The sequence below is a fragment of the Homo sapiens genome, chromosome 17, assembly GCF_000001405.40.
Source record: "Homo sapiens chromosome 17, GRCh38.p14 Primary Assembly".
Classification (NCBI taxonomy): domain Eukaryota; kingdom Metazoa; phylum Chordata; class Mammalia; order Primates; family Hominidae; genus Homo; species Homo sapiens.
In genome coordinates this window covers 32,170,643-32,185,921 of record NC_000017.11, presented here as the reverse complement: position 1 = coordinate 32,185,921, position 15,279 = coordinate 32,170,643, and the positions used below count along the sequence as shown (strand labels likewise).

Below are 15,279 nucleotides of genomic sequence, written 5' to 3'. Positions count from 1 at the left end.
AGTGAGATCCTGACTTTACTAGAAAATTTAAAAATTAGCTGGGCACGGTGGCATGTGCCTGTAGTCCCAACTACTCAGGAGGCTGAGGTGGGAGGATGGCCTGAGCCTTGGAGTTTGAGGCCGCAGTGAGCTATGATCACACCACTGTGCTCCAGCCTGGGCCACAAAGTAAGATCTTGTCTCTAAATTTAAAAAAAAAAAAAAAAAAAAAAGAGGCCGGGCATGGCGGTTCACACCTGTAATCCCAACACTTTGGGAGGCCAAGGCGGGTGCATTGCTTGAGCCTAGGAGTTTAAGACCAACCTGGGCAACATGGTGAAACCCCATCTTCTACTAAAAATACAAAAATTAGCTGGGTATGGTGGCACACAGGTGTGATCCCAACTATTTGGGAGGCTGAGGTGGGAGGATCGTTGAAGCCAGGAAGTCGAGGGGGCAGTGAGCTGTGATTGTGCTACTGCACTCTAGCCTGGGCGATAGAGTAAGGCCCTGACCCAAAAAAAAGGAGAGTAGGCCAGGAGCAGTAGTTCACGCCTATAATTCCAGCACTTTGGGAGGCTGAGGCAGGAGGATCACCTGAGGTTGGGTGTTCAAGACCAGCCTGACCAACATAGAGAAACCCCATAACTATTAAAAATACAAAATTAGTAGGGTGTAGTGGCGCATGCCTATCATTCCAGCTACTTGGAAGGCTGAGGCAGGAGAATCACTTGAACCTGGGAGGCGGAGGTTGTGGTGCACAGAGATCGCACCATTGCACTCCAGCCTGGGCAACAAGAGCGAAACTCCGTCTCAAAAAACAAAAGAAAAAGAAAAAAGAAAAGAAAAAGAAAAACTAGCCAGGCATGGTGGTATGTGCCTATAGTCCCAGCTACTTGAGAGGTTTAGGTGGGATGATTGCTTGAGCCAGGAATTTGAGGTTATAATAAGCTGTAATCATGTCACTGCACCCCAGCCTGGGTGACAGAGCAAGACTCTGTCTTCAAAAAAAAAGCAAACAAGTGTTCAAACAAAAACTTGTATTGAATGTTTACAACAGTCTATTCGTAATAGCCTAAAAGTAGAAACTACTCAATATGCATCAACAGATATGGGGATAAACTAAATATGATGTATCCAGCCAGGTGCGGTGGCTCACACCTGTAATCCCAGCACTCTTGGAGGCAGAGGTGGAGGCGGGAAGACTGCCTGAGCCCAGGAGTTTGAGACCAGCCTGGGCAACATGGCGAAACCCTGTCTTTACAAAAAATAAAAGTAAAAAAAATCAGCTGGGCACGGTGGCGAATGCCTACAGTCCTAGCTACTCGAGAGGCTAAGGCAGGAGGATCACTTGAGCCCAGGAGCTTGAGGCTGCAGTGAGCTGTGATCACACCACTGCTCTCCAGCCTGGGTGACAGAATGAGACTCTGCCTCAAAAAATAAAAAAAAATAAAAAATAAAAAAAATAAAACCCACCAAAAACATGGTTTATCCATAAAATGATTATCGGGCCATAAAAAGAAATGAAATACTGATACATGCTACAATGTGGATATACCATGGAAATATTACGCTAAGTAAAAGAAGCCAGAAACAAAAGGTCACATATGGTATGAGTCCATTTATATAAAATGTCCAGAAGAGGCAAATCCACAGAGACAGAAGGTAGACTGGTGGTGGCCAGGGGCTGAGTAACGGGACAATAGGGAGTGACTGCTAATAGGTACAGGGTTTCTCTTTGGGGTGATGAAATGTTCTGAAATTAGACAGTGGTGATGATTGCATAACTTTGTGAATACACTAAAAACCACGGAATAGTACAACTTTAAAAGGATGAATTTTAAGGTACTTGAGATATATCTCAAAAAAATTTAGTTTTTCAATGTCTATGGCAAAATATTAAATTTTGGATATTTCAATAAGGAGTTACTGTGTTTCTTAGCTATAAAACAAAAGGGGCTGGGCGCAGTGGCTCACGCCTGTAATCCCGGCACTTTGGGAGGCCCAGGCAGGCGGATCACTTGAGGTCAGGAGTTCGAGATCAGCCTGGGCAATATGGTGAAACCCTGTCTCTACTAAAAATACAAAAATTAGCCAGGCATGGTGGCGCATGCCTGTGATCCCAGCCACTTTGGCAGGCTGAGGCATGAGAATCACTTGAACCCCGGAGCTGGAGGTTGCAGTCAGCCGAGATCGAGATCGTGCCACTGCACTCCAGCCTGAGTGACAGAGCAAGATTCTGTCTCAAAAGAAAAAAAACAAAAACAAAAGTAGTAGTCACATTGTATTACATTGTGCCTATGTCAAAAAACTACATAATGTTTTTATTTGTGTGTGTTTTTCAGTTTGTAGATTTTATAGTAGCAAAACAAGAAGACCATTAGCTAAGTCTTTGGAGGACTTTTTTGTTGTTATTGTTGCCAATTCTTGTTTGTTTTAATGGCACTTCCTGAAGCAGTACTTGATTAGATTCCATTGATGTGGAAAATATTACGAATATTTAATGTGAATGTCATTGAAGAAGAGTACCAAAATGTAACCATTTAATAAGCAATAAATTTAAATTTCAGCAGTTTAATCTCTACACAAATACTTAAGAGTTACTAAAAATCACTACCATACTAGAGTTACTACATACACATTCCAGCCCCTATAAACACAGCCTGTTACCTCCTTCTCCTCTGGGCAGTACAGGGGCCCTGTAGGATGAAGAACAGCTTTCTGTGCGTAATAAAAGAGCTCTGATATGTTCTTCAGGTTTTTCGCTGAACACTGAAAAAATAAAATTTTACACTCTGAAATCAATTATGAGAGCTAAAAACAATTTTCAAATTATCAACATAAGGCAAAAAAAAGATTCCTTGAAAAAAAACGAAAAATGCATCTTTGTGGACATCACAACATGAATGTCTAGAAAGAGTTCAGAGGCCAACTCCAACTTCTCTGTTTTATTTGGTTTACGTGACTTCACAAATAGCAGGAAATTTATTCCATCCCACATTGTCCCCCCTATTTAAAACCCGAATTTAGTAAGAATTCATTAAAAATAAATTTTCAAATCAAATTACAAGGCATACCTCCACACAGGTTTCTATTTCTGTATACTGGTTCATAATAGGAAGGATGGTCTCCATACTACTATATTCCACCAGATCAGATTTGTTCCCAACCAATATTAAAGGCAGCCTAAAATAAACAGGGCACATTGTAATAAGGAAGGCAAAAGACATTAAATTTATATTTTAATTTATATCATAACCCATTCTAACTAAAAAGCTTTTATTTAATCTTCTCAACAACATGAACCTTTCTCTACAGTCAGGTTGAGCCCCCTAGATAGCACGTATTTACTCAACATGTTATCTATTGAGCACCTATTATAAGCCACATACTGCTTTAAGTATTAAGGACACAAGACAGAAGGTCCTACCCATTCTGTTTTGTTTTTTGTTTTCTTGAGACAGGGTCTAGCTCTGTTGTCCAGGCTGGAGTGCAGTGGCAGGATCACAGCTCACTGCAACCTCAAATTCCTATGCTCAAGTGATCCACTTGCCCTAGCCTCCCTAGTAGCTAGGACTATAGGCACAAGCCACCACATCCAGCAAATTAAAAAAAAATTTTTTTTTTTTGTAGAGAAGGGTCTAGCTATATTGCCTAGGCTAGTCTCAAACTTCTGGCCTCCCAAAGTGTTGGGATGATAGGTATGAGCTACTATGCCTGGGCAGATCTATAAACCTGATCATTCCAATAGTGAAAAACAGAAAATGAGCAATAAGCAAATAAAATAATTTCCAATTCAGTAAGTACTATGCAGGAAATAAATAGGGGGATAGAGTAGTGGGAAGGAGCTAGTTATGTATAGTAATTAAGGAAAACTCCCTATGTAAAGGTGACATTTGAGCCAAGGGGTGAAGGATAAGATGAAATCTGCCATGTAGAGTCAGGGAAGAGCAAGCGAGGAGGAAGGAACAGCATGTGCAAAGGCCCCAAACTGAAAAAACATCCTGATGGGGCCAAACAACAGGAAAATGCCAGAATGGCTACAGAGTACTGAGTAAAGAGAAAAAGGTATAAAATGGGGTTAGAAAGAGGATCAAAGGTCAGACACATAAGGACTTACAAGCTGCAGTAAGGAGTGTAGGTTTTATTGTTAGTGTAAAATGGGAAGTCATTGAATGATTCTAAGAAGGGGGTTAACATTTTTAAATGCAGTGATTTTTAGAGCTACATACTGAAATACAGCATGAAAATAATGTCTCTATTTGCTTCAAAATGATCTCAATGGGAGGGGTAATAGATGAAACAAGACTGGCCATGAGTTAATTGTTGAAGCTGGATAACAGGTATGTACCTCAGTATATGTTACATTTTTTCACTATCACTAACAAATTTTTAAAAATTTCTTAGTGAAAATTTTAAAAAATATAATAGTAACTTGGACTAGTGACAGTGACAGTAAAGATGAAAAGGAAAATATTCAAATTTCAGATATATTTTATAAGACAGAAACAGCTGATAGGTTAGATGTGAAGATTGAGGGAAAAGCAGAAACCAAGAAAAATATTTAGGTTTTGGCTGGAAAAAAATGGGTAGATCTCAGAAGATACAGAAGATTAAGAATGATTTTTTGTTTCTGTTTTTGGCAGCGAGTAGGCAGGGAATTAAAGATTTTCTTTTAGACAAGTTAAATCTGATAAGTCTGTGGGGAAAAATCTTAATGGGGATATTAAGGAGGACCAACCTAGTGGAGAACTGTTGTGAATCCTGCAAGAGAGCTTGGAGGGAAAGCAAATCATCCTGCTGGAACTCTAGACTGCAAGAGAAGCACTTGAAAGCATTTAGCTTACCTAACCCTTGGTGTGCCATTATGCTTGAAAAGACCGACCACCATATAGCCCAAATATAAATTCCTACCAGAACCAGGAGGGTTTCCAAAAATGTAGTGGTTTGTAACCAAAGGTGTGCATCAGTGGCTCACGCCTGTAATTTCAGCACTTTGGGAGGCCAAGGCGGAAGGACTGCTTGAGACCAGGAGCTCAAAACTATCCTGGATAACATAGTGAGACCCTGTTTCTACAAAAGTTTTTTAAAAATTAGCCAGGTGTGATGGCACGCACTTGCAGTCCCAGCTACTTGGGAAGCTGTCATGGTAAAGCCAAAATTGTTTAATTCAGTGGTCCAAGCTGGTGCTTGATAGATTGATAGATCTTAGCAAAACTGCCCTCTTTTTTTTTTTTTTTTTTTTGGCTTAAAACAAAAATAAGCATTTATTATTTCTTTTTTTTTTTCTTGTACTTTTTTTTTTAATGTTTATTGATCATTCTTGGGTGTTTCTCGGAGAGGGGGATGTGGCAGGGTCATAGGATAATAGTGGAGAGAAGGTCAGCAGATAAACATGTGAACAAAGGTCTCTGGTTTTCCTACACAGTGTTTGTGTCCCTGGGTACTTGAGATTAGGGAGTGGTGATGACTCTTAACGAGCATGCTGCCTTCAAGCATCTGTTTAACAAAGCACATCTTGCACTGCCCTTAATCCATTTAACCCTGAGTTGACACAGCACATGTTTCAGAGAGCACAGGGTTGGGGGTAAGGTTATAGATTAACAGCATCCCAAGGCAGAAGAATTTTTCTAAGTACAGAACAAAATGGAGTCTCCTATATCTACTTCTTTCTACACAGACACAGTAACAATCTGATCTCTCTTTCTTTTCCCCACATTTCCCCCTTTTCTTTTCGACAAAACCGCCATCGTCATCATGGCCCGTTCTCGATGGTCGCTGTCTCTTCGGAGCTATTGGGTACACCTCCCAGATAGGGCGGCCGGGCAGAGGTGCTCCTCACTTCCCAGACAGGGTGGCCGGGCAGAGGCGCTCCTCACATCCCAGACGATGGGTGGCTGGGCAGAGACGCTCCTCACTTCCCAGACGGGGCGGCCGGGCAGAGGCGCTCCTCACTTCCCAGACGGGGCGGCCGGGCAGAGGTGCTCCTCACATCCCAGATGGGGTGTCAGCTGGGCAGAGGCGCTCCTCACTTCCCAGATGGGGTGGCCGGGCAGAGGCGCTTCCCATTTCCCAGATGGGGCAGCCAGGTAGAGGCGCTCCCCACTTCCCAGACGATGGGCGGCCAGGCAGAGGCGCTCCCCACTTCCCAGACGGGGTGGCCGGGCAGAGGCGTTCCTCACTTCCCAGATGGGGTGGCTGGGCAGAGGCGCTCCCCACTTCCCAGACGGGGCAGCCGGGCAGAGGGGCTCCCCACTTCCCAGATGATGGGCGGCCGGGCAGAAACGCTCCTCACCTCCCAGACGGGGCAGCCGGGCAGAGGCGCTCCTCACTTCCCAGACGGGGTGGCCGGGCAGAGACACTCCTCACTTCCCAGACGATGGGCGGCCGGGCAGAGGCGCTCCTCACTTCCCAGACGGGGCGGCCGGGCAGAGGCGCTCCTCACTTCCCAGACGGGGCGGCCGGGCAGAGGTGCTCCTCACATCCCAGATGGGGTGTCAGCTGGGCAGAGGCGCTCCTCACTTCCCAGATGGGGTGGCCGGGCAGAGGTGCTTCCCATTTCCCAGATGGGGCAGCCAGGTAGAGGCGCTCCCCACTTCCCAGATGGGGCAGCCAGGCAGAGGCGCTCCTCACATCCCAGACGGGGTGGCAGCTGGGCAGAGGCGCTCCTCACTTCCCAGACGGGGCGGCCGGGCAGAGGCGCTTCCCATTTCCCAGACGGGGCGGCCAGGTAGAGGTGCTCCCCACTTCCCAGACGGGGTGGCGGCCGGGCAGAGGTGCTCCTCACTTCCCAGACGGGGCGGCCGGGCAGAGGCGCTTCCCATTTCCCAGACGGGGCAGCCAAGTAGAGGCGCTCCCCACTTCCCAGATGGGGCGGCCAGGCAGAGGCGCTTCCCATTTCCCAGACGGGGCGGCCAGGCAGAGGCGCTCCTCACTTCCCAGACAGGGCTGCCAGGCAGAGGCGCTCCTCACTTCCCAGACGGGGTGGCGGCCGGGCAGAGGCGCTCCTCACATCCCAGACAGGGTGGCGGCCGGGCAGAGGCACTCCTCACTTCCCAGATGGGGTGGCGGCCGGGCAGAGGCGCTCCTCACATCCCAGACGGGGTGGCCAGGCAGAGATGCTCCTCACTTCCTAGACGGGGTGGCAGCCGGGCAGAGGCTCTCCTCACTTCCCAGACGGGGCAGCCAGGCAGAGGCGCTCCTCACCTCCCAGACAGGGCGGCTGGGCAGAGGCGCTCCTCACATCCCATTCGGGGCAGCCGGGCAGAGGCGCTCCTCACATCCCAGACGATGGGCAGCCGGGCAGAGATGCTCCTCACTTCCTAGACGGGGTGGCGGGCGGGCAGAGGCTGTAATCTTAGCACTTTGGGAGGCCAAGGCAGGCGGCTGGGAGGTGAAGGTTGTAGCGAGCCGAGATCCCACCACTGCACTCCGGCCTGGGCAACACTGAGCATTGAGTGAGCGAGACTCCGTCTGCAATCCCAGCACCTCGGGAGGCCACGGCAGGCAGATCACCCGAGGCCAGGAGCTGGAGACCAGCCCGGTCAACACGGCGAAAGTCCGTCTCCACCAAAAATACAAAAACCAGTCAGGAGTGGTGGCACGTGCCTGGAATCCCAGGCACTCGGTAGGCCGAGGCAGGAGAATCATGGGAGCCCGAGGCAGGCAGGTTGCAGTGAGCCGAGATCACGGCAGTACAGTCCAGACTCGGCAAGAGAGGGAGATCACTGGGGGGGGGGAGGGCATTTATTATTTCATGTAGTTTCTTCCGGCCAGGAATTTGGGAGTGGCCTAGCTGGGTGGTCGATCGACTCAGCATCTCTCATGCGGTGGCTCATGCCTGTAATTCCAGCACTTTGAGAAGCCAAGGCAGGTGGATCACTTGAGGTCAGGAGTTTAAGACCAGCCTAGCCAACATGGTGAAACCCCGTCTCTACTAAAAATACAAAAATTAGCTGGGTGTGGTGGTGGGTACCTGTAATCCCAGCTACTCGGGAGGCTGAGGCAGGAGAATTGCATGAACCTGGGAGACAGAGGTTGCAGTGAGCCAAGATCGCACCACTGCACTCCAGCCTGGGCAACAGAGTGGAAACTCCATCTCAAAAAAAAAAAAAGAAGAAAGAAAGAAAGATGTCACTGGGGGCTGCAGCCATCTGCAGGCTCGATGGGGCTCTTTTTTTTTTTTTTTGAGACGGAGTCTCGCTCTGTTGCCCAGGCTGGAGTGCAGTGGCGTGATCTCGGCTCACTGCAAGCTCCGCCTCCTGGGTTCATGCCATTCTCCTGCTTCAGCCTCCCGAGTAGCTGGGACTACAGGCGCCTCCCACCACACCCAGCTAATTTTTTTGTATTTTTGTAGAGATGGGGTTTCACTGTGTTAGCCAGGATGGTCTCGATCTCCTGACCTCATGATCCGCCTGCCTCGGCCTCCCAAAGTGCTGGGATTACAGGCGTGAGCCACCGCACCTGGCAAAACTGCCCTCTCTTAAAGATTCCCTCCTAGAAATGGCGCAAGCAAAAGCAAGAAAAGCAGATATTAGGAACATATGGGTATTGGATCCCCCAAGGCATCCCTGTCCAATACAACATTCTATGATGATGGAAATGCTCTTTATCTCTACTCTCCATTACTGTAAGCATTAGTCACATGTGGCTATGAGCACTTGAAACGTGGCTAAGTGTATCCGAGGAACAAGTTTTAGTTTTATTAATTTTAATTAATTTAAAGTTAAATCACCACAACTGACGAGAGCCTACTACACTGGACAGCAGAGCTCTAAAGGGTCATTCTTTCCTTTCCACCTTGTCAAATCATCACAAAGTTAAAACCATGATAAAAGAGAAGCCATACAATGCCACAGCATTTCTCACAGCACATATAATGTCATCTCAGTCTCCCTTCCAAAATATGTAAGACAGAGGGTTAATGACCATAGTCATATGTTTAGAACCAGATCTTTAGCGTTTCAAGGCACAAAAACTTCCAACTAAAAGAGAAATCTAAAAAATTGAGAAAAGGACTAAATGTGTACAATATATAGATATTAGTCTGATTTTCCTATTTAAAAAGATTCAGGCCAGGCACAGTAGCTCTTGCCTGTAGTCCCAGCACTTTGGGAGGCCAAGGCGAGCAGATCATTTGAGGTCATGAGTTCGAGACCAGACTGACCAACGTGCGAAACCCTCTCTACTAAAAAATACGAAAATTAGCCAGGCATGGTGGTACATGCCTGCAGTCCCAGTTACTCAGGAGACTGAGGCATGAGAATCACTTGAATCCAGGAGGCGGAGGCTGCAAGGAGCCAAGATTGTGCTCCTATACTCCAGCCTGGGCGACAGAGCAAGACTCTGTCTCAAAATAAATAAATAAATAAATAAATAAATAAATAAATAAATAAATAAAACTGAGACTTTTCAAGCAGCAGTTTGAGGAAGAGAAATGTAAGATTTATGACCAAAATAATCTGTCTGAAGTTGTGAATCATGATATCAGAGTTCTGTTTCTTGCTTTGCTCTCAAGTATATCTACTGCCTCAAATGAATCCCCCCAAAAAAGGCACGTGGGTGTGTGTATGAACAGACAGAAAAACTGATAGATAAGGCAAACGTGGCAAAACGTTACCTAGTAAATTTAAGTGAAGGATTTAGGGAAGTTCAATGTACTACTTCTTGTACCTTTTCTGCAAGCTTTAAACTTTTTAATTATAAAAAGTTTGAGAGAGGAAAAAATACCTGCTGTCTTTGTCTGTTCTTTCATTTATGAGAGGAATCCATCGACTTGTTACCTAAAATGAAAATTAACAAGCGCTTAGCCATGATAAGGATCTTTACAAAACACTCTTCCCTTAGACCCCTAAAATTCTAAACTGAGAATCAACTTTGGAAGCACTCCACTGAAACCAACTATAGGGAAAAAAAGATCACACCTACCTTATCAATAGAATGCTTGTTGTTAACGGCATACACTATACAGATGACATTAGCCTAGAAGAAAAATTAACAAATTAATCGTATCTAAAAATAATAAAAACATAGACAGCACTTAATTAGCAACTTATTAATATATTCGGGTGAAAGGAAGAAAAAATTTAACAGCTAAAACAAAAAAACAAAAAAAGAATTAGCTTGCCTCTAAGAGAAAATGTTCCTAAGGACTTAAAGCAAAAACACATACTCAGTAACAGCCATAACAATAAAGAACTGCAAAAGAACTTTTGGTAATTAAGAGAATGAAAAAGGGACGGGGTGTATCACTTGAGGGCAGGAGTTTGAGACTAGCCTGGTTAACATGGCAAAACCCCATCTCTACTAAAATACAAAAATTAGCTGGGCATGGTGGTGCATGCCTGTAATCCCAGCTACTTGGGAGGCTGAGGCATGAGAATCGCTTGAGCCTGCGAGATGGAGGTTGCGATAAGGCAAAATTGCGCCACTGCACTGGGTGACAGAGTGGGTGACAGAGTGAAACACGGTCCCAAAAAAAACACAAAAACCAACAAACAAAGAGAATGAAAAAGGCAGGCTCATAAAATCATCACTGTTTTTCTACACAAAACCCCACACCTCTGTTTTTTAAAGCTCACCTGAGATATTTCTTGATGAAGTTGTTCATCACTCTGTTCTGCTTCTACAAATGACAGGAAGTCAATGTTTCATATTGCAGACACTTTCATAAAAACTAATGGCCAAGCTAAATTCTATGCAACACTCATCTAACATCCCTCAAAATGACATGGTGTAGCAAACACAAGGGAAAGCCAGGGGAAGGAAAAGGTTCAACTACGATAAGGCAGCTGGCCCTGAAAGACGAGTCTATAAAAGGATAACTCAGGCATGGAACAGCAGAAGCATTGTGTAATAAATCTAGGCCAGCATCTGGTCCAGAGTTGAAAAGGGTCAGGCAAAGGACTTCAGAAATCCAAGCTAGCAGACTGGGTGCTGAAGAGTCAGAAGCTCGGACAAAGAGTCTATACACACAGGATCAAAAGGCAGGTGAGATTCTGGGTAATACAAGCTTAAGATCTAGATAGCAGGTGGGAGTAATAATAACCAAGACCCAGAGGCAAAACTGTAGCTTGATAATGAAGTGATGAGAATTCCCTCTCTAGCATGTATCTTTAGCTAGAACTGGTCTCAATGGGTGGGTGTGCCTGCAATTCCACGCATGCAGGGATATGAATGATATAGCTAGGATAGAAAGCAAATAATTGAAGAGCAAAGCAATTACTGGCATACTGATTTAGACCACCTTAGGTTACATATATCTTCCCCTAAAAATGCCTGTTACTTCTGACATATAAACTAATATCATACATGAATTCAATGGTATTTTATACTATGCTAAATAACAGGCCATATTTTTAATATCTTTCCATATGTTAAGTAATCAATGGGTTAAGGCTTCAATTCTAATACTGAGGTGAATCTAATTATATGGCTACACATATTGAAGAATAATTCTGTAAATAAATCTAGTTATGAGACTGATTGTAGCAGAAGTCATTCACCTCCCTCAGCTTTCAGTACAGTGCTGTCCAACATACAGATAATGCAAGCCACATACATAGTTTTCAATTTTTTAGTAGCAACCTTTAAAAAGGTAAGTAAAAAAGGTAAAATTAAATTTTCATTTAACCCAAAATATCAAAAGTATTTAAATTTCAACATGTACTCAATAGAAAAATTAATGACATATTTTACATCCTTTTTTCATACTAAGTCTTCAAAATCCAGTTATATTTTACAATTAACAGCACATTTTCATTTAGAACAGTCACATTTCAAGTGTTCAACAGCCACAGGTATTATGGAACCCAACTTAGTAATCTGGGGACGAAGAACTGTCAGATGGAGGCACTGGGTGGGGTATAGGGTAGAGGTTGACAGACATAAATGAGATAAGAATCGTAAAGGATCATTTACTGCTACAGAGAAAAGACCACCTCTCTGAACATTTGTAAAAGCTCAGTAAGTATCTTTTTTCAAGTCTATTAAATTAACCTACACCTTCATCTACAAGAGGATATTCATTACCTGAGTAATCTACAATGTGTGTTGGAACTCTCTCTGGGGTGACATCAGCTGGAATGGTGATTTCTTCTGCCCGGGGAGGAACCTTCATTTACAAACAAATATAGAAAAAAAAAAACACCTTTGAATATTATCACTCAAACTTGTAATAGATGATATAAATTTATCTACACAGGTTGAGTGTTTCTTTTCTTTTTTTTTTTTTAATGGAGTCTCACTCTATGGTCCAGGCTAGAGTGCAGTGGTGCGATCTCTGCTCACTGCAACCTCTGCTGCCCAGGTTCAAGTGATTCTCCTGCCTCAGCCTCCCGAGTAGCTGGGATTACAGGCGCCTACCACTGCGCCCAGCTAATTTTTGTATTTTTAGTAGAGACACGATTTCACCATCTTGGCCACGCTAGTCTTGAACTCCTGACCTTGTGATCCACCCGCCTCGGCCTCCCAAAGTGCTGGGATCACAGGCTGAGTATTTCTAAGCCCAGAATCTGAAATCTGAAATGTTCCAAAATTCTAAACTTTTTAGCACTAACATGATACTCAAAGGAAATGTTCATTGGAGCATTTCTGATTTTCAGATTAGGGAAATGCTCAACTGGTAAGTATAATGCAAACATTCCAAAATCTGAACAAATCTGAAATCTGAAACACTTCTGGTCCCAAGCATTTTGGATAAAGGATGCTCAACTTGTATTACCCCTCTCACCAATACCCATTTGTTGTATATATAAGTGTTTATTTTTGTGCTTTACCACAGATGCAAATATATATTAAAACTATAGGATAAAAACATTTTAAATGCGTATTTCTATCTACATAGACACAATACATTAAGGATACTTCAGATGTGACACAGACTCAGTGGATTCTTGGATTAATTTGGTGTTTCGGTGTTAGATTTTTTAAATATGTTGTTTTCATTCTATTTTGTTGAAGGCTGAAGATACTCTGCAAATGAGGAGGTATTTAAATCCACAACAATCTGCAAATAAACCAACAGGTTATCAACATTCATTTCCTCTAGAAAATAATTGACTGGCTACATAAGCCTTATGTTTGCTTGTTTTTCATTCACTTATTTATTTTTTGAGACAGAGTTTTGCTCTTGTTGCCCAGGCTGGAGTGCAATGGCACGATCTCAGCTCACTGCAAGCTCTGCCCCTGGGTTCAAGCTATTCTCCTGCCTCAGCCTCCCAGGTAGCTGGGATTACAGGCATGCGCCACCATACCTGGCTAATTTTGTATTTTACTAGAGATGGGGTTTCACCATGTTGGCCAGGCTGGTCTTGAACTCCTGACCTCAAGTGATCCGGCCACCTCAGCCTCCCAAAGTGCTGGGATTACAGGCGTGAGCCACTGCGCCCAGCCAAGCCTTATGTTTAATGATTCCATTTTTCACAAGGACTGAATTTTTAAAAATTAATTAAAAACCCTTCTAGATTACTTACAATCCCTAAAAAAGTGAAAAACTAAATTTTAAAAAACCAAAAACACAAAACCCTTATCCACAATCAAGAGGAGTATGCTAAAACAATTCTAAACTAAAACTCTCACAGAAAACTTTTAGGTGTTATACCCAGAGTAATTATAAATTAATGTTACTGATTCTACAAATAATACACGAAAATATACTTCATTTCTTAAATTAAGCAATTACTTATTTAACCATCTTGTCTAAGAGAAAAAAAGCAAAAAATAATAATAAATAGTCTTTTGGCAGCTGTAAATGTTGAAAACACTATCACATGATACATCAAATTCCTATTTGAACAATGAAATTATACAGATATTCCTATCTAAACTAGAGTAAAGGAAGGATAAATGTAAACTGTGACACTAATGATACCTACTATGCAAGAAAGAGGGTAATTTGAAATCATTTTCATCCCATTGCACAAATTTCATTCCCTATAACTATATGCTAACTTTATGCAAAGTTTAGCCAACAGCTCCTCACTCTAGAACTTCCAAAATGTAAATTTATTGCCAGTAATAATAAAACCACCTTACTACTTTTGGTGGCACTTCCCTGCTATTAAGTTCATCTCATTTGAGACCCATAACAATCCTTTGAGGTAGGCAAAGGTGGAATGAGTTTGTTTCAACATTTGTAAAATGAAGCAGGTAGATCATATTAAAGGTTTTCAAATATATGTATCATAATTCTAGTGGTTCCGACAAAAACACCTCACAGACCAGGGAGTGTCAGGCAGAAGGCAAGTAGGGATTCACATCTTTCCCCTTAACTTCAACTCACGGAATGCTCATTATCTTTTTTATGTTTTGGGTTTATGAGCAACATTTTATTTTTAAGAAAGGGTCACAGAGCTTATATGACATTTATATCCCTTTCAGCTTCCATTTTATAGATGAGACAACTGAGACACAGAGAATACAAAGGTCCTAGACAAAGTCAAAGGAAGAAAATGCAAAAGACTTAGATGAACTTAGACACAGGCTGGTTATTTCTCCTATACTGTATTTCATAGATACAGGTGATAAACAAATATTAGCTTTTTAAAAAGTCTCAACTGGCAGGGCACAGTGGCACATGCCTGTAATCCCAGCACTTTGGGAGGCCAAGACAGGAGGATTGCTTGAGTCCAGGAGTTGGAGGTTGCAGTGGGCTATGATGGCACCACTGCACTCCAGCCTGGGCAATAGAGTGAGACCCTGTCTCTAAAGAAGGGAGAAAAAAAAGTCTCAACTGTCCAAAAGGAAGCACATAACACATGCCAAAAGAGACAGAATTCAGTTCATTTTAATTTGATTTTGATAAATTTTTTAAAATTTAAATATGGAAATCAAAATGTTTACCTCTTCTGGAAATTCTTCACTGACCAGAGACATAATCAGTGATGTCTTCCCAACTCTAGCTGTGAAAAGAAAAATCGTTACTTTAATAAAGTGTTAGGTTCTACATAAGCTCAAATTTGGCAACCACATAAGGCAGTCTGTTACTCATTAGCTAAAATCTAAGGCATCCAAATTATTAAGTTTTAGTATAATACTTAAAAGTATATCTTTATGTTTAGAAAAGTCACACATACTCTTTTTTAAAAACTTGCCAAAATATATTCTGTAAAAGTACAAATCCCTCCTAACATCCTCTACTAACATTTTAATATTCTCCCAGATTTTTCCTATACTTATATTAACTTGCAATATTTTACCACAATGGAATCATAGTTATCACACTACTTTGCAATTTTCCTTTATCACTTAATTATGCATTTGGGCAGTATTTCATGTCAGTACATAAAAACTCCTAGAAGA

The 15,279-nt window shown here is 42.9% G+C and overlaps 1 protein-coding gene across 22 annotated transcripts in view, besides 1 other annotated feature; it reads right to left on the bottom strand.

Moving 5' to 3' along the window:
- Positions 1 to 15,279, bottom strand: part of RHOT1 (ras homolog family member T1) — an 83,226-nt gene that overhangs the window by 39,806 nt on the left and 28,141 nt on the right. For 14 of the 22 annotated variants that reach the window (NR_110083.2, NM_001033568.3, NM_001288754.2 and 11 more), the window contains exons 2-8: positions 14,821 to 14,879; positions 12,010 to 12,091; positions 10,560 to 10,603; positions 9,907 to 9,960; positions 9,709 to 9,761; positions 3,057 to 3,165; positions 2,650 to 2,751 (exon numbers count right to left, since the gene is read on the bottom strand). Coding sequence is in view for 21 of the 22 variants with exons in the window: in NM_001033568.3 (NP_001028740.1) it covers positions 2,650 to 2,751; positions 3,057 to 3,165; positions 9,709 to 9,761; positions 9,907 to 9,960; positions 10,560 to 10,603; positions 12,010 to 12,091; positions 14,821 to 14,879 (503 nt within the window). In the remaining variant the exon portion in view is untranslated. Of the gene's footprint in view, positions 1 to 2,649; positions 2,752 to 3,056; positions 3,166 to 9,708; positions 9,762 to 9,906; positions 9,961 to 10,559; positions 10,604 to 12,009; positions 12,092 to 12,861; positions 12,986 to 14,820; positions 14,880 to 15,279 lie in introns of those variants that run through there. The other 8 variants (NM_001288755.2, XM_011524969.3, XM_047436356.1 and 5 more) reach the window with 3 other exon arrangements.
- Positions 5,227 to 5,751: an enhancer, noted in NCBI's record as "NANOG hESC enhancer chr17:30507190-30507714 (GRCh37/hg19 assembly coordinates)". NCBI's record gives its function as "activates a minimal SCP1, AML or CMV promoter by ChIP-STARR-seq in primed H9 embryonic stem cells {active_cell/tissue: H9 hESC(primed)}" and the evidence as "EXISTENCE:reporter gene assay evidence [ECO:0000049][PMID:30033119]".